The sequence below is a fragment of the Homo sapiens genome, chromosome 9 (genome assembly GCF_000001405.40).
Source record: "Homo sapiens chromosome 9, GRCh38.p14 Primary Assembly".
NCBI lineage: Eukaryota > Metazoa > Chordata > Mammalia > Primates > Hominidae > Homo > Homo sapiens.
The window spans coordinates 21,177,093-21,199,826 of record NC_000009.12 but is presented as its reverse complement, the minus strand read 5'-3'; the positions used below and the strand labels follow the sequence as shown (position 1 = coordinate 21,199,826).

The 22,734-nt window shown below is 42.6% G+C and overlaps 1 protein-coding gene and 2 pseudogenes across 1 annotated transcript, besides 2 other annotated features; all 3 read left to right on the top strand.

Moving 5' to 3' along the window:
• Nucleotides 4,388-4,447: an enhancer, noted in NCBI's record as "active region_28236". NCBI's record gives its function as "activates an Ori minimal core promoter by ATAC-STARR-seq in GM12878 lymphoblastoid cells {active_cell/tissue: GM12878}" and the evidence as "EXISTENCE:reporter gene assay evidence [ECO:0000049][PMID:35858748]".
• IFNWP9 (interferon omega 1 pseudogene 9) lies at nucleotides 8,465-9,189 on the top strand (annotated as a pseudogene).
• On the top strand, nucleotides 12,240-13,209 carry IFNA4 (interferon alpha 4). Its single transcript, NM_021068.4, has one exon. It carries the CDS (start codon nucleotides 12,296-12,298, stop codon nucleotides 12,863-12,865), a length of 570 nt encoding a protein of 189 aa, NP_066546.1. The 5' UTR covers nucleotides 12,240-12,295; the 3' UTR covers nucleotides 12,866-13,209.
• Nucleotides 16,535-16,584: an enhancer, noted in NCBI's record as "active region_28235". NCBI's record gives its function as "activates an Ori minimal core promoter by ATAC-STARR-seq in GM12878 lymphoblastoid cells {active_cell/tissue: GM12878}" and the evidence as "EXISTENCE:reporter gene assay evidence [ECO:0000049][PMID:35858748]".
• IFNWP15 (interferon omega 1 pseudogene 15) lies at nucleotides 20,521-21,512 on the top strand (annotated as a pseudogene).

Genomic DNA, 22,734 nt, shown 5'->3' with positions numbered 1-22,734 from the left:
ACACGCACGTGTATGTTTATTGCAGCATGTTTACAATAGCAAAGACACAAAACCAACCCAAGTGCCCATCAATGATAGACTGGATTAAAAAAAATTGTACTTAAAACCTAGGTGACGGATGAGAGTGACCTTGAACTGGCAAGACCAGGTCAGTGCAAGTGACATTGGTTTCTTAGATACTCCTCAGCTCCGTGTGGGTCTCCCGATTCTCAGTTCTGCCTGCTGACTTGTTCATTCATTTCCATGGCAGGGCTGCAGTTGGGTCGTGCCTGGTTTTTTGGCCTCCCAATGTCTCTTAATTAACTTAATATTACTTGGTAATACTAAAGCAATGATGAATTATGTGCATGGAGTCATTAATCTTCTGTGTAAATATCTCAAACACTGTGTCTTAATTATAGACTCCGTACTTAAAATATTTTAAAGCTTCTATTCATATATTTACTTAGAAAGACAGATCCGTGTTTCTATGGTGTCAGCACACTCAGTGGGAAAATGGTGTCCATACATTGGAGACGTTCGCATGAAAGAGTAGTTTCTCTGATGAGATGAATGCTGCCTGTTCTCCACTGACCCACAGACATTCTTAGCCTTAGCAATGAAGGGAGTTGGGGTAAGATAGCGCCTGGGGATCTGGGCCCTCTTTCGCCTTCTGACTGTTCTGTCTGTAGCAAACCATAGAGAGTTTTTCTGGACAGTCCAGGAAGGTGTAAGAGCAGCTTTAGATGGGGCAGCTATCTCCCTCATAGCAGAGCCAGCCCTAAGCCAGGGCAGGGCCTCCTCCGGGAAGAATTGTGCACCTCCTTCAGGGTCATCAGGGAGTTAGGTACATTGTGAGTATACTAACTTAGCATTTAGCAGTTACTCTGCACCGGGCACCATGCTGTTCCTGGGTGGTGGCTGGTGGCTGGGGCAGGGCAGTGAGTTTACATAGACTAGACACAGCAGTAATAGCTAATATTCCATGAGAACTTGCCATGGGGTTTGCCGCACGAAGACACTGGCTCTTGTTTACATAGGCTGCCTCATTTGCACTTACCAACAAACATGGGTAGCTTCTGGTGTCTGTATTCTCATTTTACAATGAAGAAGCTGCAGTGAGGAGGGGTAAAGTCACTTGCCCAAGACTGCATAGCTAATAAGTGGCAGAGCCAGAACCTGAGCCCACTGTCCAAGGCGAAGGTGCTTCCTAGCATGGTGGCCACCTCTAGGTAGGAGCTCAGCTGTGCCACCCACTGAGACAGATACACTCCCAACAGCTGTGATTGGGTAGGGTGGCTCCACCTCCCAGATGGGTCCTCAGTTTGCTGAGTGTTGGTTGGATAACTTGACTAACTTTCTCAGCAGTCCTTTGAGCAGCTGAGGTCATACTTAGATGTGACTTACGTGAGACAACAGAGGAGTCCAGGTGAGAGCTGGCAGGCATGGGACCAGGGTGGAGGCGTAGTTTTCCCCACCAGGTGGGTGGAGCCAGGTCTCTTCAAACCAGAGGGCACAATTGCTGTTTTTATTGTTCACGTTGACTGTAGCAAAAATAACTCAGGGCCTGTGAACCTCATCTGTGAAATGTAAATAACCCCTTCTCTGCCTATTTTTTTTTTTTTTTTGAGACGGAGTCTTGCTCTGTTGTGTAGGCTAGAGTTCAAGACCAGCCTGACCAACATGGTGAAACCCTGTCTCTACTAAAAGTACAAAAATTCTCCACCTATCTTACTCTGTAGCTTGGGAAATCACCGAGATAAGAGGTTGGAAGGTGATAACTGTCCAGGCATGCAAGTAGTATGTTTATAGGAATGTGACTGAGCAACAGGGAAATGAGATTTCTCTCTCTCTGTCTCTTTTTTTTTTTTTTTTTTGGAGATAGAGTCTCGCTCTGTCAACCAGGCTACAGTGCAGTGGCGCAATCTCGGCTCACTGCAACTTCCGCCTCCTGGGTTCCAGTGATTCTCCTGTGTCAGCCTCCTGAGTAGATGGGACTACAGGTGCATGCCACCATGCCCAGCTAATTTTTTGTATTTTTAGTAGAGATGGGGTTTCACCATGTTAGCTAGGATGGCCTCCATCTCCTGACCTCATGATCCACCCACCTCGGCCTCCCAAAGTGGTGGGATTACAGGTGTGAGCCACCGCGCCCGGCCGACATTTCATTTTTAACTCGGACGTCAATCAACGTAGCCATATACAGATTTGAAAAGCTTTTCTTTATCTCTGTTAATGGAGAAAAGGAATGACTGCTTTCTTGTCAGAATGAAAGTTTTCAGTTTTAAACTTAACCAGTTCCTGCCATTTTGAAATGTTCACTCATTTCTTACTTTTTTTTTTTCTTTTTTTTTTTTTGACACAGAGTCTCGCTCTGTCACCCAGGCTGGAGTGCAGCGGTGCTATCTCGGCTCACTGCAACCTCTGCCTCCCGGATTCAAACAATTCTCATGCCTCAGCCTCCCGAGTAGCTGGGATTACAGACTCGTGCCACCATACTCAGCTAATTTTTGTACTTTTAGTAGAGACGGGTTTCACCGTGTTTGGCCAGGCTGAGAGGCTAGAGAGAGGGCTCCGTCACCATTTCCCAAGCTCAGAATCCACATAGGCCTTTCCACAGGCAATTCCACTCCCAGGGAACCTGGTGGCTCCAAGAGGAGTTACTAGGGAATTATATTTAGTTAGGTGGCAAGGGCTGGTTAATTATCTCTACTCTTCTTTTGAAAGTAAATTTTATTTTTTTTAATTGCTTTCCTTGCTCCAAAAAAAAACCTTAGAGCAGCAAGAATATAAAAATTCAAAGTAGGTGAGATAGGGAACGTTACATGGCTGTTTAAAAGGAGAAGGCAGATCCACATGTGAGGGCAAGAAAGAGTGCCTACGATCTTATTATTCCAGATTATTACAGTGTGTAGTAAGAATACTGCAGTGGTATGAACATTACGGGCCCCTGGAATCTGAAAAGATGGTGACCTCTTCATAAGCCAGTCTGCAGGGCAAGCACTCAGAAGCAAAGAGGCTTGCCTCAGAGAAAAAGATCCTTGGGACTTTCCAACTCTACTTTTAGGTAGCTCTGATTTGTGTGAGCTTTTCCCATTGAGCATCTTTTACTTTAAAATTAGCTGAAACTTTAAATGTTTAGGACAGAATAAAGTAAAATGAAAAAAAAGAGGGAGGAAAATAAAATAAAAATAAGACCATTATAAAGATGTACCCTATGAAGACATGTCTTTATTAATAAGTCTGAGATTTTTGATAGTTAATGTAAAAGAAGGAAATCAGATCAGTGACACAAGTCACCTTAACCGTTGAATGAAACTGTTTCTTGGCACAGAACAAAATATTTCTCCAGAGGAATTGCACAGAGAAAAGAATCAGTTGACAATAGGTATTAAGCATCAATTATAGGAAATAGAATAACATGGAATTCCTGTCTTCATGAAATGTATACTGTAATGGAGGAGAAAGGATGGTTAAAATAAAATAAATACGAAATTAATTCAAAAAAAAAAACCTAGGTGACGAGTTGATAGGTGAGGCAAACCACCATGGCACACGTATACCTATGAAACAAATCTGCACGTTCTGCACATGTATCCCGGAACTTAAAGCAAAATTTAAAAAGAAAGAAAGTTGGTCAAAATCAGCCGAAAATACAACATGAACCAAGGAAATTCAGAGAGCAGGAGATGGTTGTGTATAAATGAGGAAAAAAGGAGATTAATAATTATTAAGGAAATCCTCACACAAAATTTACACATCTGGTATAAATAATAATAACTTATTTTACATTGAAATTCCATACTGCTTGTATATATTGTTTTTAGGCAGCGTAAAACAACAGAATTCTGTCATGAATTGTAGAGAGGCTGAAAAATTGTCTCAACTCATTTCAAAGTCCTACTTAGTCTGGAATGGTGGCTTGTATAAATACCTGTCAGAGGAGCAGCATCTAGATTGAAGGGCAGAATACACGTGTCGATGGTTAACTGATTCTGGCACCTGGAACATTTGTTTCCTGGCTCTCAGAATTCCAGAGTACACTCCCATATGAAGTTAGTCTCCTAAACTTAAGTAAAGTATACATCTTTGCTGGTTCTGAGAGCTGACACACTTTCCCCTCTCCTCCCTGCTTTTCTGTATCCCATTTTCCACTCCCATATCACACTAGTTTCCTTCCTCTTCCTCTAGAAATGCGCACTGTGCTCTCTTCTTCACTCATCATTAGCCTGCACTGCCTCTTCATACAGCTGTTTTCAGTTCTCTTGTGGGTTTTACCCATCACTTTCCCCTTAAGAGCACAAAATCACAAATTAAAGCAGAAGTTCAGTGAAAGTTCTAGGTTTTTCAGAAGCTCTTTTATAAAATACTCTTTTTCCTTTCTTATGATGAATATTTCTGTAAAAGAGGGAATGTCGCTGTTACAGTGACATAACAGTAGCTTAGCAAAAAAGGAAATAAAAGGCAGGTTCCGTTTTACTTTGAGACTCTTACAACATTTACAGGGAAAGAGAGCCCCCAACTGGTCAAAGTGCACCAAGACAGCAGCCAAGTCTGTGGAGAGCAGGTTATTAATGCAGAAGCAGGCCTCCTGGCAGGAGATTTATCTTCATAGCTAAAAAGAGGCTCTTCCCAAGAAAGAACTGACCCCAGTACTGGAATTAGCCCATTTCCTTAACTTCTGTATCATGGAGAGAGAAAATACTCCCAGCTTCAGGCATGACATGTCGTCTTGGGGCAATGGACAGCTATGGGGAAAGACAAAGGGTCAGGATGTGTCCCTTTCCTCCAGCCTGCCCAGCCTCCCCGGGGCCTCCTAACTTATCCCTTCCTCTATGGATTGTGCTAGACTAGGAATGAGAACAGCCGGTCAATCTGGGTGTAGAACTTCAAGGGAATTTGACTTTTGGTCTCTCTATCAAGGTTGTGGTAGTTTTCATAGATGATATCCTGAAATATATTTTCCAAGTTGTTTGCTTTCTCCGTCTTTTTAAAGGATGCAAGTGACTCTTAGATTTGGCCTCTTTATACAATCCCCTATTTCTTGGAGCTTTTGTTCATTGCTCTTCATTCTTTTTTCTTTATGTTTGTCTGACTGTCTTATTTCAGAGAGCCAGTCTTCAAGTCCTGAGATTCTGTCCTCAGCTTGGTCTATTCTGCTGTTAATACTTGTGATTGCATTGTGAAATTCTTCTAGTAGTGTACCTATACTAGGTCCGTTAGGTTCTTTTTCATACTGGCTATTTTGTCAGTCCACTCCTCTCTCCTTTGATCGTGATTCTTAGTTTCCTTGGTTTAGGTTTTATCATTTTCCTGAATCTCAATGAAATTCCTTTCTATCCTATTCTGAATTATGTTTCTGTCATTTTAGCTAACTCATTATGGTTAAGTACCCCTGTTGGAGAACTAGTGAGATTATTTGGAGGACATAAGATACTTTGTCCTTTTGAGATACTATAGTTCTTCAGTTGGTTCTTTCTCGTCTCTACATATGGGAATGTAGCTTGAGTTCAATCAATAAGTAGACTTCAGTTCTGGATGTGTTCACAGGGCTGCAGCTTTGTGCAGGGTCTTTATTTGAAGCTGACTTGTCTTTGGTTTAATGAGGGTATGTTAGTGACATTTTTTAGTGTCATGCTTTGGGCATGACCTAGTAGGTGACTCTTAGTTGGAGTGGTCAGTTGTAAGGCTCTTGCTCAGTCACGTGGCTCCCCTGTATTTCCCCACGTTTGCAGCCGTGCTCCTTCTCAATGCTATGAAAGTGTGGGCTCCTCTCCCACTGGAGTGCTGACTGTAGCTTGTATCTTGGCACTCCCAGGCTGTACATAACAGCTCTGAGGTGATCTCAGGGTTAATGTTTTCTCCCCGACTTGGAGGCATTGAAGGAAGGGACCTTAGTAGTAGTTGTAACTGAGGGTCTTTTGCTTGTCCCCTGGGGGCTCCACCCCAGAGATGCAGGTGAGCAATCACTCAGAGCATTCAGCTTCGGATGGGGGTGTCTGTGCTGTGGGCCCAAGACAGGGGTTCCCTGCCTGGTGATGTGAGGGGTGGATGGTTGACCAATGGCAGACAGACTGGCCTCCTCTCTTGGGTTGACAGCAGCTTGTTGGAGGTATGCATAAGGCACTTGGGGTCTTGCTCCTTCATTAGTTCCAAGGTAGCTGGGGTAGTACCACTGCAGAGGCAGTGTTAGACAGGCTTTCTGTTACCCCTGGGGTCTCCACCTCCTAGAAATGTGAAGTCATGTTAATGGGAGTGTTTAGCCAGAGGAGTGGGGTGGCTGCACTGCTGGTGTAAGTATGGGACTTCACTTCTTGGGAAACAGGAGGTGGAAAACTTACCAGGAGGAGACTGTTCTCCTCACTATGTGGTAACTGCAGTGTGCTGGAAGTTCAGGTGACTGTGGCATGATGTAAGCTTGTAAACAAAGAGCTTCAGACTCTTTGTCTCTTCCCCAGACCCAAGGCAGCAAGGATAAAACTGCTGCTGTGGCAGTGGCAGAGGTAGGATGGTTGTGGGAGCCTCTCCCCAGGGAAACTCTAGTCAACTACCAGTGGATATGCTCAGCCATGGGTAGGGTGACTGTTCTGCAGTCATGGGCAGGGGGCCCTGCCTCCTGAAGAATAGGGACAGGGATTCTCAGGGAAGAGGGGCTGGACTCCTCTTCATACAGTGGTGATGATGTGCTGGAGGTGCCAGTGTAGTGAATAGGCCTTTGTTCCTTCCCCAGCCGGAGGGCTGCTGGGGCTGTCCCACTGCAACGGTCATGGTGGATGGGTTATGGGTTGACTGTGGGATTTCTTTCTTGGAGAAATGCTGGACTGCCTGATTGAGGAGACGAGGCAAGGGAAGAATGCCTGTGCTGGAGTCTCTGGTCAGGTGGCTCTGCCCACAGAGGAGAGGTGACAACCAGGAACTGCGTGGAGAACAGTGTGGCCACTCTTCTGTGAGGCAGTTGCTCTGTTTTGGGGATCTGGAGCAGCCGCTGTTCCCTACAGACTCCCCAGAGCCTGGAGACAGCAAGGGCAAGAGCTGTGAGAAAGCAAAGATAGCAACCCACCCTTCTCACTGGGAGCTCTGTTCCAGGGAGATGCAGAGCTGCCATTGGCTCAATAGCCCCAGCTGGTAGCTGCAGACCCAGGCCTGGCAGACCCACCCAGTGAGCAGATAGGGGATTAGGGACCCACATAACACACAGTCTGGCCACTTTTCCATAGGGCTGCTGCAATATGCTGGGGGTCCAATCCAGACCATAGTCACCTCACATTTTTCAGTACCTGAAGATATCAACAGTGAAGGCTATGAAACAGTGAAGATGGGGACCTGCCCCTCCCTCTGGGAGCTCTGTTCCAGAGAGGTACAACCTGTTGCCTCCGGCAACATACATGCAGGAGGTGGCTGGAGACCCCGGTGGGGATATCCCTCCCACTGAGGAGAAGCAGCATCAGGGAATCAGGTGAAGAAACAGTCTGGCCACTTTTTGGTAGAGCAGCTGTGCTGTGCTGGGGGTCTGCTACCACCCCCAGCACAAAAGAATGGCATTTGCAAGAATGGCTAAGGCTGCTAAACAGCAACAATGGCAACCTACCATTCCCTTTGGGAGCGCCATCCCAGGGATATTCGAAACTGCTGGCCACTAGAAAACAGTGGTGGAGGTGACTGGAGACCCCAGTGGGGAGATTTCACCCGGTGAAAAGAAACAGGATTTGGGATCGACATGAATAACCAATCTGACTGCTTCCCCGTAGAGCTGCTGGACTGTGCTGGGTGGCTGCTCCAGTCCCTAGCTGCCTTGGACTCCCGAGAACCCAAAGGCTCCAATAGCTAAGATTGTGAAAGAGCAAAGATGGCAGCCCACCCCCTGCCGCAGGGAGCTCCATGTCAGGGAGGTATGAGGCTGCTACCAGTGTCTGGCTGGATTCCCAAGTCAGTGGGTCTTACCCTGAGACAGGCCATGGAAGGTGGGCCTGTCACTTGTCACTGCCCAGCGCCCTGGATGAAACCCCTTTCCTAGGGGTATGTATAGGGGTCTAGCGTCCTGCTTGGCTGGAGTTATAGCTTCTTTTGTGGGGAGGCCTGGGTATCTAAGGCTCCAGGGTACCCATGCATGCGAGAGTGGCTGCTCTGCTGAAACCCTACGTAGCCCTGCATGTCAGACTAAACGCCCTGGTAGAGTGGGTTCACTAGGAGATCTCCTGACCTGAGGATTGCAAAGATCTGTGGGAGAAGCGTGGGTCCCCAGGGCTGCTCACTTACTCACCACTTCCCTGGGCAGGAGAGGCTCCCCTGGCTCTGTGTCACTCCTGGGGGGGCAGTTGTCCTGCCTTACTTTGCTTTATTCTCCATGGGTCAAGTTGTTTTCTTGAGTCTCAATGTGTGCACCCGGTTGTTTCAGTTGAAGGTGCTGTATTTACTTGCCCCTTCCATTTCTCTCCATGAGAGTGGCACACACTAGCAGGTTCCAGTCGGCCATCTTGGCCAATCCTGAAAACTATTTGTTTCCAGCTATAAGCCATGCATAAAAAGAATGCCTTGAGAGAACCTGGAGTGCGGGGTTCATCCCGACCCCAGCTCAGCTAGGCCAGCAGCACCCTCGTTTCCCAATGGTCCTACTGCTTGTTCTACTGGTGGCCCTGCTGCTTTGCCACTGTGGCCCTGTTGGATCTCTGGGCTTTGAACTGCCTCAGAACCGTGGCCTACTTAGCAGGAACACCTTGGCACTTCTGGGCCAAATGTGCAGAATCTCCACTTTCTTGTGTCTCAAGGACAGAAGAGACTTCAGGTTCCCCCTGGAGATGTGGATGGCAGTCATTTGCAGAAGGCCCAGGCTGTGTCTGTCCTCCATGAGATGCTTCAGCAGATCTTCAGCCTCTTCCCCACAGAGCGCTCCTCTGCTGCCTGGAACATGACCCTCCTGGACCAGCTCCACACTGGATTTCATCAGCAGCTCGAATGCCTGGAGTCTTGCTTAGGGCAGGCAACAGGAGAGGAAGAATCTGTGGGGGTGATTGGGGCCCTATACTGGCCTTGAGGAGGTACTTCCAGGGAATCCATGGGAATCCAGAGAATCTACCTGAAAGAGAAGAAATACAGTGACTGTGCTTAGGAGGTTGTCAGAATGGAATCATGAAATCCTTCTCTTCATCAACAGACTTGCAAGGACTGAGAAGTAAGGATGAAGACCTGGGGTCTGCTTTAGTCTTTCTTATTTTCTTCCTCTTCCTTACTATGTGTTTATTTCTTCTTTTTCTAGTTCCTTAACTTGTAAAGTAGTTCATTGGTTTGAGGTCTTTCTTCTTTTTTAATATAAGCTTTTACAGCTTTCAATTTCCCCTTTAGCTCTGTTTTCACTGCATCACATACGTCTTGGTATGTTGTGTTTTCATTTTCATCGGTCTCAAGATATTTTCTAAGTTCCCCTCTGGTCATTTTTTTTTTTTGTACTATACTTTAAGTTCCAGGGTAAATGTGCTCAACGGGCAAGTTTGGTACATAGGTATACATGTGCCATGTTGGTTTGCTGTACCCATTAACTTGTCATTTGCATTAAGTATTTCTCCTCTTACATGTTTATCACATTTAGACATACATTTGTTTTCTTTTTGTTCCCATAAATTAAGATGAAAAATCAGACCACTTTTACTTTCTAGGAAAAGTGAAGTGAGAAATATAAATATATTTGCTGTTGTGAATACCACATAGAACCATTGTATAGTCCATTTAAAAATTATATTTGTATTCTTTCATTGACACTAACCTGAATGTGAAAATGAAAGAAATCAAAGTATAGAAAAACCAATTTTCACAGTAAAATACAACATGAAAAATGAATATGCAAAAATTCCCAATACACTCTCAAGCGAACAAAGAAAAAAATACTCTCTCCCCCAGTGTTTCAAAGACTAAGAATAATAACTTGGGCAAAATTGCCCTGTATTCTCAGGGTCTAATAAAAGGATGAGCCCAAAATTCAATAAAAATGTGTTGACTGGATCAACAACTAAATCAATGTACAAAATATACATTTCTGAAATGAAAGCTCCTATTTATGGAAACCCCTGTGCACATTTCACAATGTAGAATATTTTAATTGTTCAATGATATAAAGAATTTAAATGAATTATTTAAAATAATGAATAATAAAATGTGTTTGGTTATTTTCTAAAATTGATCCATTTCATAATTTCTACCTTATATAAACCGGCTCATTTTCTACCCGTGTCATTAAAAGATTATCACATGATTTAAAGCTGAAATTTATAAATGATGGAAAAATGATGTCACAAGTCTTCACAGTTCACATACACATTCTCGGGATTTGATCCAGGGAAGGAAAGCTGTAGGATTATTTGGGGAAGAGAGGCTATTATTCCATACTTTTGGGAATAGCAAATTGTCTGACTCCTATAAACTGTGTGAATTGGAGAGTTTGAATTTAGATATGTGACTCTGCATTTGACACCAGGCTAGTTATTTTCTATTATAACAAAGTAGAGGACAGATTAGAGATGAAGTCATAAATAGTTAATATAGTGCTAGGCAAAGGATGATATTATGCTGCTCTTGCAACTTGAATCCCCAGATCTACATGCACTTAAAAAAAACTAGAATCCCAGTGGTTTTAGCAGTAAACTAAATGGGCATTACTGACTCTCAGTAAACACTGAATGGAAATTTTTGTGATTGTCTATTACAATCCCAGCAAATATGGCCATGAGGAAGCAAAATAGCTTCATTCTTGAACACTTTCCAGTAGAAGAAAAAATGAGAAACTAGTAAAAACTCCACTTACTAAATAGCTGATTTGCTAAAACAGACCTCATTCCATTTAAGGACTCAGTATCTATAGGGCCTACTTATGCAAAAAAAAACTTCTTATGCAAAAAAAAAAAAAACAACAAAAAGGTAGAGCCAGAGTTCAGGATCACTCTGAAAGTTAATTCTTTACATGATAATATTCAATAATTATAAATTTATGAATTTACAACAAAGATGGTCTTTTTTATTTGATAAGAATTGACTTGGATAGGAACTTCTGAAAACCTTTAGGGAATATGAACTTCAATGAAAAATGCCAAAAATAATTTAATTCATAATATTTTCTAAGTCACATATGTTTATTGGAATGACACTTCTTCTAAGGGTACGAAAATTAGTTCTCGTAGTGTAAACAAATCTGACATATTACAATAGTTTGTGACTCTCCAACAATTCTATCCAACAAAATTTCATTGCTTAATATATATCTTTCTCATTGGGTTTTTTTGTGTATGATATGAGAAGCACTGGTATTGAGTTCATGAAGATAAACAAAATATTTGTAAGACCAGTGTTACAAACCTATGGCAAATAGATGACTGTGATTGGAGGACTTTTTGTCCATTTTTTGCTGGATCTTAAGGTCTTATCACAATATGTGGCTTTAACCTGCATATCTTTGGGCTGCCATTGACTATCTTATGGTTCTTACTTATGTTTGATCCTCAGTTCTTCAAGATGTTTTGTAGACTTTGAGAATTCAATGCAAATAGCTTATATTATATGATTTATTTCTAGTAAAGTTATTCAACACATCAATATTTATGTCAAGTGCTGAAAAGAAAAAAGTGTTGGCAACATCTGGATGAATACTGCAGCTGGTGAAGTTTACAAATTATTTTGTCATATAAAGCAAAATTCAAAGCTTCATACACTAAGAGAAAAATTTTAAAAAATTATTCATTCATATTTTTAGGAGTTTTGAATGATTGGATATGTAATTATATTCATATTATTAATGTGTATCTATATAGATTTTTATTTTGCATATGTACTTTGATACAAAATTTACATGAACAAATTACACTAAAAGTTATTCCACAAATATACTTATCAAATTAAGTTAAATGTCAATAGCTTTTAAACTTAAATTTTAGTTTAACTTTTCTGTCATTCTTTACTTTGAATAAAAAGAGCAAACTTTGTAGTTTTTATCTGTGAAGTAGAGGTATACGTAATATACATAAATAGATATGCCAAATCTGTGTTATTAAAATTTCATGAAGATTTCAATTAGAAAAAAATACCATAAAAGCCTTTGAGTGCAGGTGAAAAATAGGCAATGATGAAAAAAAATGAAAAACTTTTTAAACACATGTAGAGAGTGCATAAAGAAAGCAAAAACAGAGATAGAAAGTACAACTAGGGAATTTAGAAAATGGAAATTAGTATGTTCACTATTTAAGACCTATGCACAGAGCAAAGTCTTCAGAAAACCTAGAGGCCGAAGTTCAAGGTTATCCATCTCAAGTAGCCTAGCAATATTTGCAACATCCCAATGGCCCTGTCCTTTTCTTTACTGATGGCCGTGCTGGTGCTCAGCTACAAATCCATCTGTTCTCTGGGCTGTGATCTGCCTCAGACCCACAGCCTGGGTAATAGGAGGGCCTTGATACTCCTGGCACAAATGGGAAGAATCTCTCATTTCTCCTGCCTGAAGGACAGACATGATTTCGGATTCCCCGAGGAGGAGTTTGATGGCCACCAGTTCCAGAAGGCTCAAGCCATCTCTGTCCTCCATGAGATGATCCAGCAGACCTTCAATCTCTTCAGCACAGAGGACTCATCTGCTGCTTGGGAACAGAGCCTCCTAGAAAAATTTTCCACTGAACTTTACCAGCAACTGAATGACCTGGAAGCATGTGTGATACAGGAGGTTGGGGTGGAAGAGACTCCCCTGATGAATGAGGACTCCATCCTGGCTGTGAGGAAATACTTCCAAAGAATCACTCTTTATCTAACAGAGAAGAAATACAGCCCTTGTGCCTGGGAGGTTGTCAGAGCAGAAATCATGAGATCCCTCTCGTTTTCAACAAACTTGCAAAAAAGATTAAGGAGGAAGGATTGAAACCTGGTTCAACATGGAAATGATCCTGATTGACTAATACATTATCTCACACTTTCATGAGTTCTTCCATTTCAAAGACTCACTTCTATAACCACCACGAGTTGAATCAAAATTTTCAAATGTTTTCAGCAGTGTGAAGAAGCTTGGTGTATACCTGTGCAGGCACTAGTCCTTTACAGATGACAATGCTGATGTCTCTGTTCATCTATTTATTTAAATATTTATTTATTTTTAAAATTTAAATTATTTTTTATGTGATATCATGAGTACCTTTACATTGTGGTGAATGTAACAATATATGTTCTTCATATTTAGCCAATATATTAATTTCCTTTTTCATTAAATTTTTACTATACAAAATTTCTTGTGTTTGTTTATTCCTTAAGATAAAATGCCAAGGCTGACTTTACAACCTGACTTAAAAATAGATGATTTAATTAAGTTACCTATCATAATTTTATTCAAGTTATAAAAAAACATATTTTTCTGTACCTGGTTATATGTTGCCTTCAGGATATAAATGTGAACATAAAATATACAGTCCCTCTTCTCTTGTATCTTTTATTTTTGTCAGGAAAGAAATCTAAAAACAATAATAATGCTGAATTAATATCAGTGATGCTAACTGCTATAATGTGAGGAAGTAAAAAAACAATGAATTCCTCTTAGCAGAATGTAGATTGAGACATATCTGGAAATAAAAGCACAGATATTCTCTGTAAACTGACTTCAACATGTAATTGAAAATGTACATTGCAAGTCAGATATGTGAATTTGCAGTTTCCAAGGAATACAATATCTGGACATTCATAACTGGCAATGGAAAGGCCTAAAATGAAGGCTGTCATGTGGGGAGGAAGTGGAGAGGGAAAAAAAGACTTAAACTGGATTCTGAGGACCTTCCACCATTAAAGTGTGGGAACAGAAGAGACACAAAGAAAACAGAGGTGGAATACCTTAACTTTAGAAGGATGAGAGGGAATGGTGATAAAAGTTGATTTAGAAAATAAATGTGCTTAGAAAAAGAATCAATAGACTTATGGAAAATGTGAATTAAAACTGAGCACTATAGCAAGAAAATAGAGGGCAATGCAGAGCTTACTGAGAGCTGGATTGATAGAATTAATCAGCAGAAGCCATACTGCGGTAAGTAGAAGAGTGAATCAAAAAAGAAAAATCAAGATAACACATATAGAAAATTGTGAGATATCTGCCTTTGCAATGGAGGGAAGTAATAAGTTGGTACACCCAAAAATGTGGATTATCTTTTATCTGCATAGTGTTTCCTTTTTGAAAATACATGTCAATGAATAAATTTCATAAATGTGATGCACTGGTAAATCATATTAATACATTTAATATTTTATATATTAAACACATAAAATATAAAATTTACAATAGTAATTGATCATTATTTTGATTAATATTCCGTTAAATGTCAGTAAAAACTGACACATTTGTTTCATAAAATAAAATCAGAAACTGGAAAAGAGAATCTCTTTCTCAATACTTTAGGAATGGGGAAGGGATTCCTTATTTAATAAATGGTGCTGGGAAAACTGGAAAACCATATGCAGGAAACTGACACTGGACCCCTTCCTTACACCTTATACAAAAATTAACTCAAGACTGATTAAACACTTAAATGTAAATCCCAAAACCATAAAAACCCTAGAGGAAAATGTAGGCAATAGCATTCAGGACATTGGCATGGGCAAAGATTTTATGATGAAATTGCCAAAAGCAACTGCAACCAAAGCTAAAATTGACAAATGGCATCTAATTAAAGAGCTTCTGCACAGCAAAAGAAACTATCAATCATCAGGGTGAACAGGCAACTTACAGAATGGGAGAAAATTTTTGCCGTCTACCCAATTGACAGAGGTCTAATATCCAGAATGTACAAAGAACTTAAACAAATTCACACAAAAAAAAAGCCCCATCGAAAAGTGGGCAAAGGACATGAACAGACACTTCTCAAAAGCAGACGTTTATGCGGCCAATAAACATGAAAAAAGCTCAACATCACCGATCATTAGAGAAATGCAAATCAAAACCGCAATGAGATACCATCTCATGCCACTCAGAAGGGTGATTACTAAAAAGTCAGGAAACAACAGATGCTGGTGAAGCTGTGGAAAAACAGGAAAGCTTTTACACTGTTGGTGGGAATGTAAATTAGTTCAACCATTGTGGAAGACAGTGTGGCGATTCATCAAGGATCTAGAACCAGAAATACCATTTGACCCAGCAATCCCATTCCTGAGTATATACCCAAAGGAATATAAATCATTCTATTATAAAAATACATGCAGGTGTATGTTTATTACAACACTATTTACAATAGCAAAGACAGGAAACCAACCCAAATGCCCATCAGTGACAGACTGGATTAAAAAAAAATTTGTGCTTAAAACCTAGGTGACGAGTTGATAGGTGCAGCAAACCACTATGGCACACATATACCTAGGTAACAAATCTTCACGGTCTGCACATGTATTCCGGAACTTAAAGCAAAATCAAAAAAAAAGAAAGTAAGAGAGAGAAAGAGAAAGAAAGAAAGAGAAAGAAAGAAGGAAGGAAGGAAGGAAGGAAGGAAGGAAGGAAGGAAGGAAGGAAGGAAGGAAGGAAGGAAGGAAAGGAAGGAAGGAAGGAAGGAAGGAAGAAAGAAAGAAAGAAAGAAAGAAAGAAAGAAAGAAAGAGAGAGAGAAAGAAAGAGAGAAAGAAAGAAAGGAGAGAAAGAAAAAGGAAGGAAGGAAGGAAAGAAAAGAAAGACAAAGAAAGGAAGGAGAGAGAGAGAAAGTTGGTCAAAATCAGCTGAAAATACAACATGAACCAAGGAAATTCAGATAGCAGGAGATAGTTGTGTATAATTGAGGAAAAAAGGAGATTAATAATTATTAAGGAAATCTCAATACAAAATTTACACACCAGGTATAAATAACAATAAATTATTTTACATTGAAATTCCATTCTGCTTGCATATATTTTTTTAGGCAGCCTAAAACAACAGAATTCTGTCATGAATTCTAGAGAGGCTGAAAAATTGTCTCACCTCATTTCAAAGTCCTATTTATATTCAGTCAGGAATGGTGGCTTGTATAAATACCTGTCAGAGGAGCAGCATCTAGATTGAAGTGCAGAATACACGTGTCGATGGTTAACTGATTCTGGCACCTGGAACATTTGTTTCCTGGCTCTCAGAATCCCAGAGTACACTCCCATATGAAGTTAGTCTACTAAACTTAAGTAAAATATACATCTTTGCTGGTTCTGAGAGCTGACACACTTTCCCCTTTCCTCCCTGCTTTTCTGTGTCCCGTTTTTCACTCCCATATCACATTAGTTTCCTTCCTCTTCCTCTAGAAATGCACACTGTGCTCTCTTCTTCACTCATCATTAGCCTGCACTGCCTCTTCATACAGCTGTTTTCAGTTCTCTTGTGGGTTTTACCCATCACTTTCCCCTTAAGAGCACAAAATCACAAATTAAAGCAGAAGGCCAGTGAAAGTTCTACGTTTTTCAGAAGCTCTTTTATAAAATACTTTTTCCTTTCTTATGATGAATATTTCTGTAAAAGACGGAATGTCACTGTTACAATGACATAACAGTAGCTTAGCAAAAAAGGAAATAAAAGGCAGACTCCATTTGACTTTGAGACTATTACAACATTTACAGGGAAAGAGAGCCCCCAACTGGTCAAAGTGCACCAAGACAGCAGCCAAGTCTGTGGAGAGCAGGTTGTGAATGCAGAAGTAGGCCTGCTGGCAGGAGATTTATCTTCATAGCTAAAAAGAGGCTCTTCCCAAGAAAGAACTATCACAGTACTGGAATTAGCCCATTTCCTTAACTTTTGTATCTTAGACAGAGAAAATACTCCCAGCTTCAGGCATGACATGTCTTGGGGCAATGGACAGCTATGGGGAAAGAGAAAGGTTCAGGATATGTCCCTTTCCTCCAGCCTGCCCAGCCTCCCCGGGACCTCCTAACTTATCCCTTCCTCTATGGATTGTGCTAGACTAGGAATCAGAACAGCTGGTCAATCTGGGTGTAGAACTTCAAGGGACTTTGACTTTTGGTCTCTCTATCAAGGTTGTGGTAGTTTTCATAGATGATATCCTGAAATACATTTTCCAAGTTGTTTGTTTTCTCCCTGTCTCTTTAAAGGATGCAAGTGATTCCTAGATTTGGCCTGTTTATACCATCCCCTATTTCTTGGATGTTTTGTTCATTGCTCTTCATTCTTTTTTCTTTATTTTTGTCTGACTGTCTTATTTCAGAGAGCCAGTCTTCAAGACCTGAGATTCTGTCCTCAGCTTGGTCTATTCTGCTGTTAATACTTGTGATTGCATTGTGAAATTCTTGTAGTGTGTACATCTACTAGTTCTGTTAGGTTCTTTTTCATACTGGTTATTTTGTCTGTCAGCTCCTCTCTCCTTTGATTGTGATTCTTAGTTTCCTTGGTTTAGGTTTTACTGTTTTCCTGAATCTCAGTGAAATTCCTTTCTGTCCATATTCTGAATTATATTTCTGTCATTTTAGCTAACTCATTTTGGTTAAGAACCCTTGCTGGAGAACTAGTGTGATTATTTGGAGGACATAAGATGCTCTGTCCATTTCAGTTACCATAGTTCTTCCATTGGTTCTTTCTCATCTCTGCATATGGGAGTGTAGCTTGAGTCCAATCAATAAATTGACTTTGGTTCTGGCTGTGTTCACAGGGCTGCAGCTTTGTGTAGGGTCTTTATTTGTAGCTGACTTGTCTTTGGTTTAATGAGGGTATGTTAGTGAGATTTTTTTAGTGTTGAAGCTTTGGGCATGACCTAGTAGGTGACTCTTAGGTGCAGTGGTCAGTTGTCAGGCTCTTGCTCAGTCATGTGGCTCCCATACATTTCCTCATGGTTGCAGCCTGCTCCGTCTCAATGCTATGAAAGTGTGGGCTCCTCTCCCACTTGACTGCTGACTGTAGCTTTTGTCTTGGCACTACCAGGCTGCACACAACAGTTCTGGGGTGATCTCAGGGTTAATGTTTTCTCCTCACCTTGGAGGCATGGAAGGAAGAGACCTTAGTAGTAGTTTTAACTGAGGGTCTTTTGCTTGTCTCCTGGGGGCTCCACCCCAGAGATGCAGGTGAGCAATCATTCAGTGCTTTCAGCCTGGAATGGGGGTGTCTGTGCTGTGGGCCCAAGACAGGGGTTCCCTGCCTGGTGATGTGACGGGTGGGTGGTTGACCAATGGGAGACAGACTGGCCTCTTCTCTTGGGTTGACTGCAGCTTGTTGGAGGTATGGATAAGGCACTTGGGGTCTCTGCTCCTTCATAAGTTCCAAGGTAGCTGGGGTAGTACCACTGCAGAGGCAGTGGTAGACAGGCTTTCTGTTGCCCCTGGGGTCTCCACCTTCTAGAAATGTGAAGCCATGTTAATGGGAGTGTTTAGCCAGAGGGGTGGGGTGGCTGCACTGCTGGTGTAAGCTTGGGGCTTCACATTTTGGGAAACAGAAGGCGACAATCTTACCAGGAGTAGAGACTATTCTCCTCACCATATGGTAACTGCAGCGTGTTTTAAGTTCAGGTGACTGTGGCGTGCTGTAAGCTTGTAAACAAAGAGCTTCAGACTCTTTGTTTCTTCCCCAGACCCAAGGCAGCATGGATAAAACTGCTGCTGTGGCAGTGGCAGAGGTAGGATGGCTCTGGGAGCCTCTCCCCAGGGAAACTCCAGGCAACTACCAGTGGATGTGCTCAGCCATGTGTAGGGTGACTGTTTTGCAGTCATGGGCTGGGGGCCCTGCCTCCTGAAGAATAGGGATGGGGATTCTCAGGGAAGAGGGGCTGGACTCCTCTTCATACAGTGGCTATGATGTGCTGGAGGTGAGAGTGTAGTGACTAGGCCCTTTGTTCCTTCCCCAGCCAGAGGGCTGCTGGGGCTGTCCCACTGCAACAGTAGTGGTGGATGGGTTGTGGGTTGACTGTGGGATTTCTTCCTTGGAGAAATGCTGGACTGCCTGATTGAGGAGATGAGGCAGGGGAAGGGTGCCTGTGCTGGAGACTCTGGTCAGGTGGCCCTGCACATTGTGGCGAGGTGACAACCAGGAACAGCATGGAGAACAGTCTGTCCACTCTTCTGTGAGTTAGTTGCTCTGTGCTAGGGATCTGGACCAGCCACTGTTCCCTGCAAACTCTCCAGAGTCTGGAGACAGCAAGGGCAAGAGCTGTGAGATAGCAAAGATGGAAACCCACCCTTCTCACTGGGAACTCTGTTCTAGGGAGTTGCAGAGCTGCTATTGGCTCGATAGTCCCTGCTGGTGGCTGCAGTTCCAGGCCTGGCAGACCCACCCAGTGAGCAGATAGGGGATCACGGACCAACATAACACACAGTCTGACCACTTTTCCACAGGGCTGCTGCAATACGCTAGGGGTCCAATCCAGACCATAGTCACCTCGCATTTTTCAGTTCCTCAAGGTATCAACAGTGAAGGCTACGAAACAGTGAAGATGGGGGCCTGCCCCTCCCTCTGGGAGCTCTGTTCCAGAGAGGTACAACCTGTTGCCTGCTGGAACATACCTGCGCGAGGTGGCTGGAGACCCCGGTGGGGATATGCCGCCCACTGAGGAGAAGCAGCATCAGGGAATCAGGTGAAGAAACAGTCTGGCCACTTTTTGGTAGAGCAGCTGTGCTGTGCTGGGGGTCTGCTACCACCCCCAGCACAAAAGAATGGCATTTGCAAGAATGGCTAAGGCTGCTAAACAGCATCAATGGCAACCCACCCTTCCCTTTGGGAGCGCCATCCCAGGGACATTTGAAACTGCTGTCTGCCAGAAAACAGTGGTGGAGGTGACTGGAGACCCCAGTGGAGAGATTTCACCTGGTGAAAAGAAACAGGATTTGGGATTGACGTGAATAAGCAGTCTGACTGCTTCTCTGTAGAGCTGCTGGGCTGTGCAGGGTGGCTGCTCCAGTCCCTAGCTGCCTTGGACTCCCTAGAACCCAGAGGCTCCAATAGCTAAGGCTGTGAAACAGTAAAGATGGCAGCCCACACCCTGCCGCTGGGAGCTCCATGTCAGGGGGGTGTGAGGGTGCTACCAGTGGCTGGCTGGATTCCCAAGCCAGTGGGTCTTACCCTGAGACAGACCATGGAAGGTGGGCCTGCCACTTGTCACTGCTCAGCCCCATGGATGAAACCCCTTTCACTGGGGTATGTATAGCGGTCTAGCCTCCTGCTTGGCTGGAGTTATAGCTTCTTTTGTGGGGAAGCCTGGGTATCTAAGGCTCCAGGTTCCCCAGGTATGCTGAGTGGCTGCTCTGCTGAAACCCTACACAGCCCCGCATGTCAGACTGGAGGCCCTGGTAGAGTGAGTTCACTAGGAGATCTCCTGACCTGAGGGTTGCAAAGATTTGTGGGAGAAGCGTGGGTCCCCAAGGCTGCTCACTTACCACTTCCCTGGTTGGGGAGGCTCCCCTGGCTCTGTGTCACTCCTGGGTAGGCAGTCATCCTGCCTTGCTTTACTCTGTTCTCCACTGGTCAAGTTGTTTTCTTGAGTCCCAATGTGTGTACCTGGATGTTTCAGTTGAAGGTGCTGTATGTACTTGCCCCTTCCATTTCTCTACTTGAGAGTGGCACACACTAGCAGCTTCTCGTTGGCCATCTTGACCAACCCTGAAAGCTATTTTTTTCCAACTAAGAGCCATGCATAGCAGGAATGCCTTCAGAGAACCTGAAGTCCAAGGTTCATCCAGACCCCAGCTCAGCTAGGCCAGCAGCACCCTCGTTTCCCAATGGTCCTCCTGCTTCCTCTACTCGTGGCCCTGCCGCTTTGCCACTGTGGCCCTGTTGGATCTCTGAGCTGGGACCTGCCTCAGAACCATGGCCTACTTAGCAGGAACACCTTGGCACTTCTGGGCCAAATGTGCAGAATCTCCACTTTCTTGTGTCTCAAGGACAGAAGAGACTTCAGGTTCCCCCTGGAGATGTGGATGGCAGTCAGTTGCAGAAGGCCCCGGCCCTGTCTGTCCTCCATGAGATGCTTCAGCAGATCTTCAGCCTCTTCCCCACAGAGTGCTCCTCTGCTGCCTGGAACATGACCCTCCTGGACCAACTCCACACTGGACTTCATCTGCAGCTGGAATGCCTGGAGTCTTGCTTAGGGCAGACAAAAAGAGAGGAAGAATCTGTGGGGTGATTGGGGCCCTACACTGGCCTTGAGGACGTACTTTCAGGGAATGCATGGGAATCCAGGGAATCTACCTGGAGGAGAAGAAATACAGTGACTGTGCTTGGGAGGTTGTCAGAGTGGAATCGTGAAATCCTTCTCTTCATCATCAACAAACTTGCAAGAAGGACTGAGAAGTAAGGATGAAGACCTGGGTTCATCCTGAAATTATTCTCATTGATTAATCTGCCATATCACACTTGCACATGTGTCTTTGGTCATTTCAATAGGTTCTTTTTTCTGCAGTTGTCACAGAATTTATTGAATTAAATTCAGCAAATACCTTGTTAACAATAGTAAGCAAGTATATGTTAAAAACCTTTGGCTCTGGTCTTCAGTTCCTAAGACATGACTGCCCTGATATGTTTTATATACTTACTTATTTCCATTCTTTTTGCAGCTGTTTCATTTATAATATTTAGATATTTTACATATAATAACATATTCATCTTTACATTGTGTTAAAATTTACAAATATATTCGTCTTTCCATGTCATTAAATTTGCATTTGTTTTATTCATTAAATTCTCGTTTGTTTTATTCATTAAGGAAAATGCCTGGAAATCTTTTTTCTAAAAACAAAATCCACACCCACATTTTTAACATAATTGAAGGAAGGACAATAAAATATATTTACTCATTTATTCCATTCACATTATATGTATAAGCTAAGTAAGTGGCAGATTGTAGAGTTCCCTTCAAGAAATAAATTGAATAAAGCACTCTCCATCTTACAGAGAAAGAGATGTAAAAACAGGACTAATGCTTACTTTATTGCAATTCTCTTAAAAGCTTGAAAAAGAAGTAAAGGAAAACAATGTTCTCACACCAGAAGTTTTAGATACAAATGATGCCAGGCAGGGAAAACAATGTTAGATGTCCTTCTTAAGGTACTTGGGGTATATGTACAGGTAGCCCTTGAACAGCATGGGATTGAACTTCTGAACTGCATGGGTCCACTTATACAGGTTTTTTTTTTTCCAATACAGTTCACCTTCCATATCTGTATTTTCTGCATGTAAAACTAAACTGGATAGAAAATACAGCATTTGTGGGATGTGAAACTCGCATATATGAAGGGGACTGCAGGACTTGAGTTTTCACAGATTTGGGTATCTGGAGGACAGGTGTGGAGTCTTAGAACAAAAATCCCACAGATACCAAGGGAAACAGTATTTCCAGAATCTTATTGGCAGCTGGGAATATGGGTCTAGAATGAACAACAAATGCCATGGGCAAAGGTATTAATTTGGGATTCTTTACTGCATGTCTGGTATTGAGGACATGAGAATGGATATTAGGGAATCTGTCACCTAACATAGTTATAAATTGAGGGAACGATGAGACAGGATCTAAACTTAGTCCTGCAGATCCTCAACAGTCATTGGTAGGGCAGAGAAGGAGAGTCTGTGAAGGTCAAAGAGCACTTAGGAGGAGTGGTCAGTGCAGCTGGAAGGAGAAATAGCAAAGAATGAGGGAGAGACAAGCGAGGGGTAGACAGTGGTGTTTTCAGGGAAGATGAAGGCTGACCTGTCCTAACGGACTCAAAAACAGATGCCATCAGTGACCTTAGGTGGATCTAGGTTTAGTAAAATGAATGGGACAGAAACTTGATGGGAGTGGGTTGAAGAAGAAATACAATAAGGGTATTTGGGTGTTCTA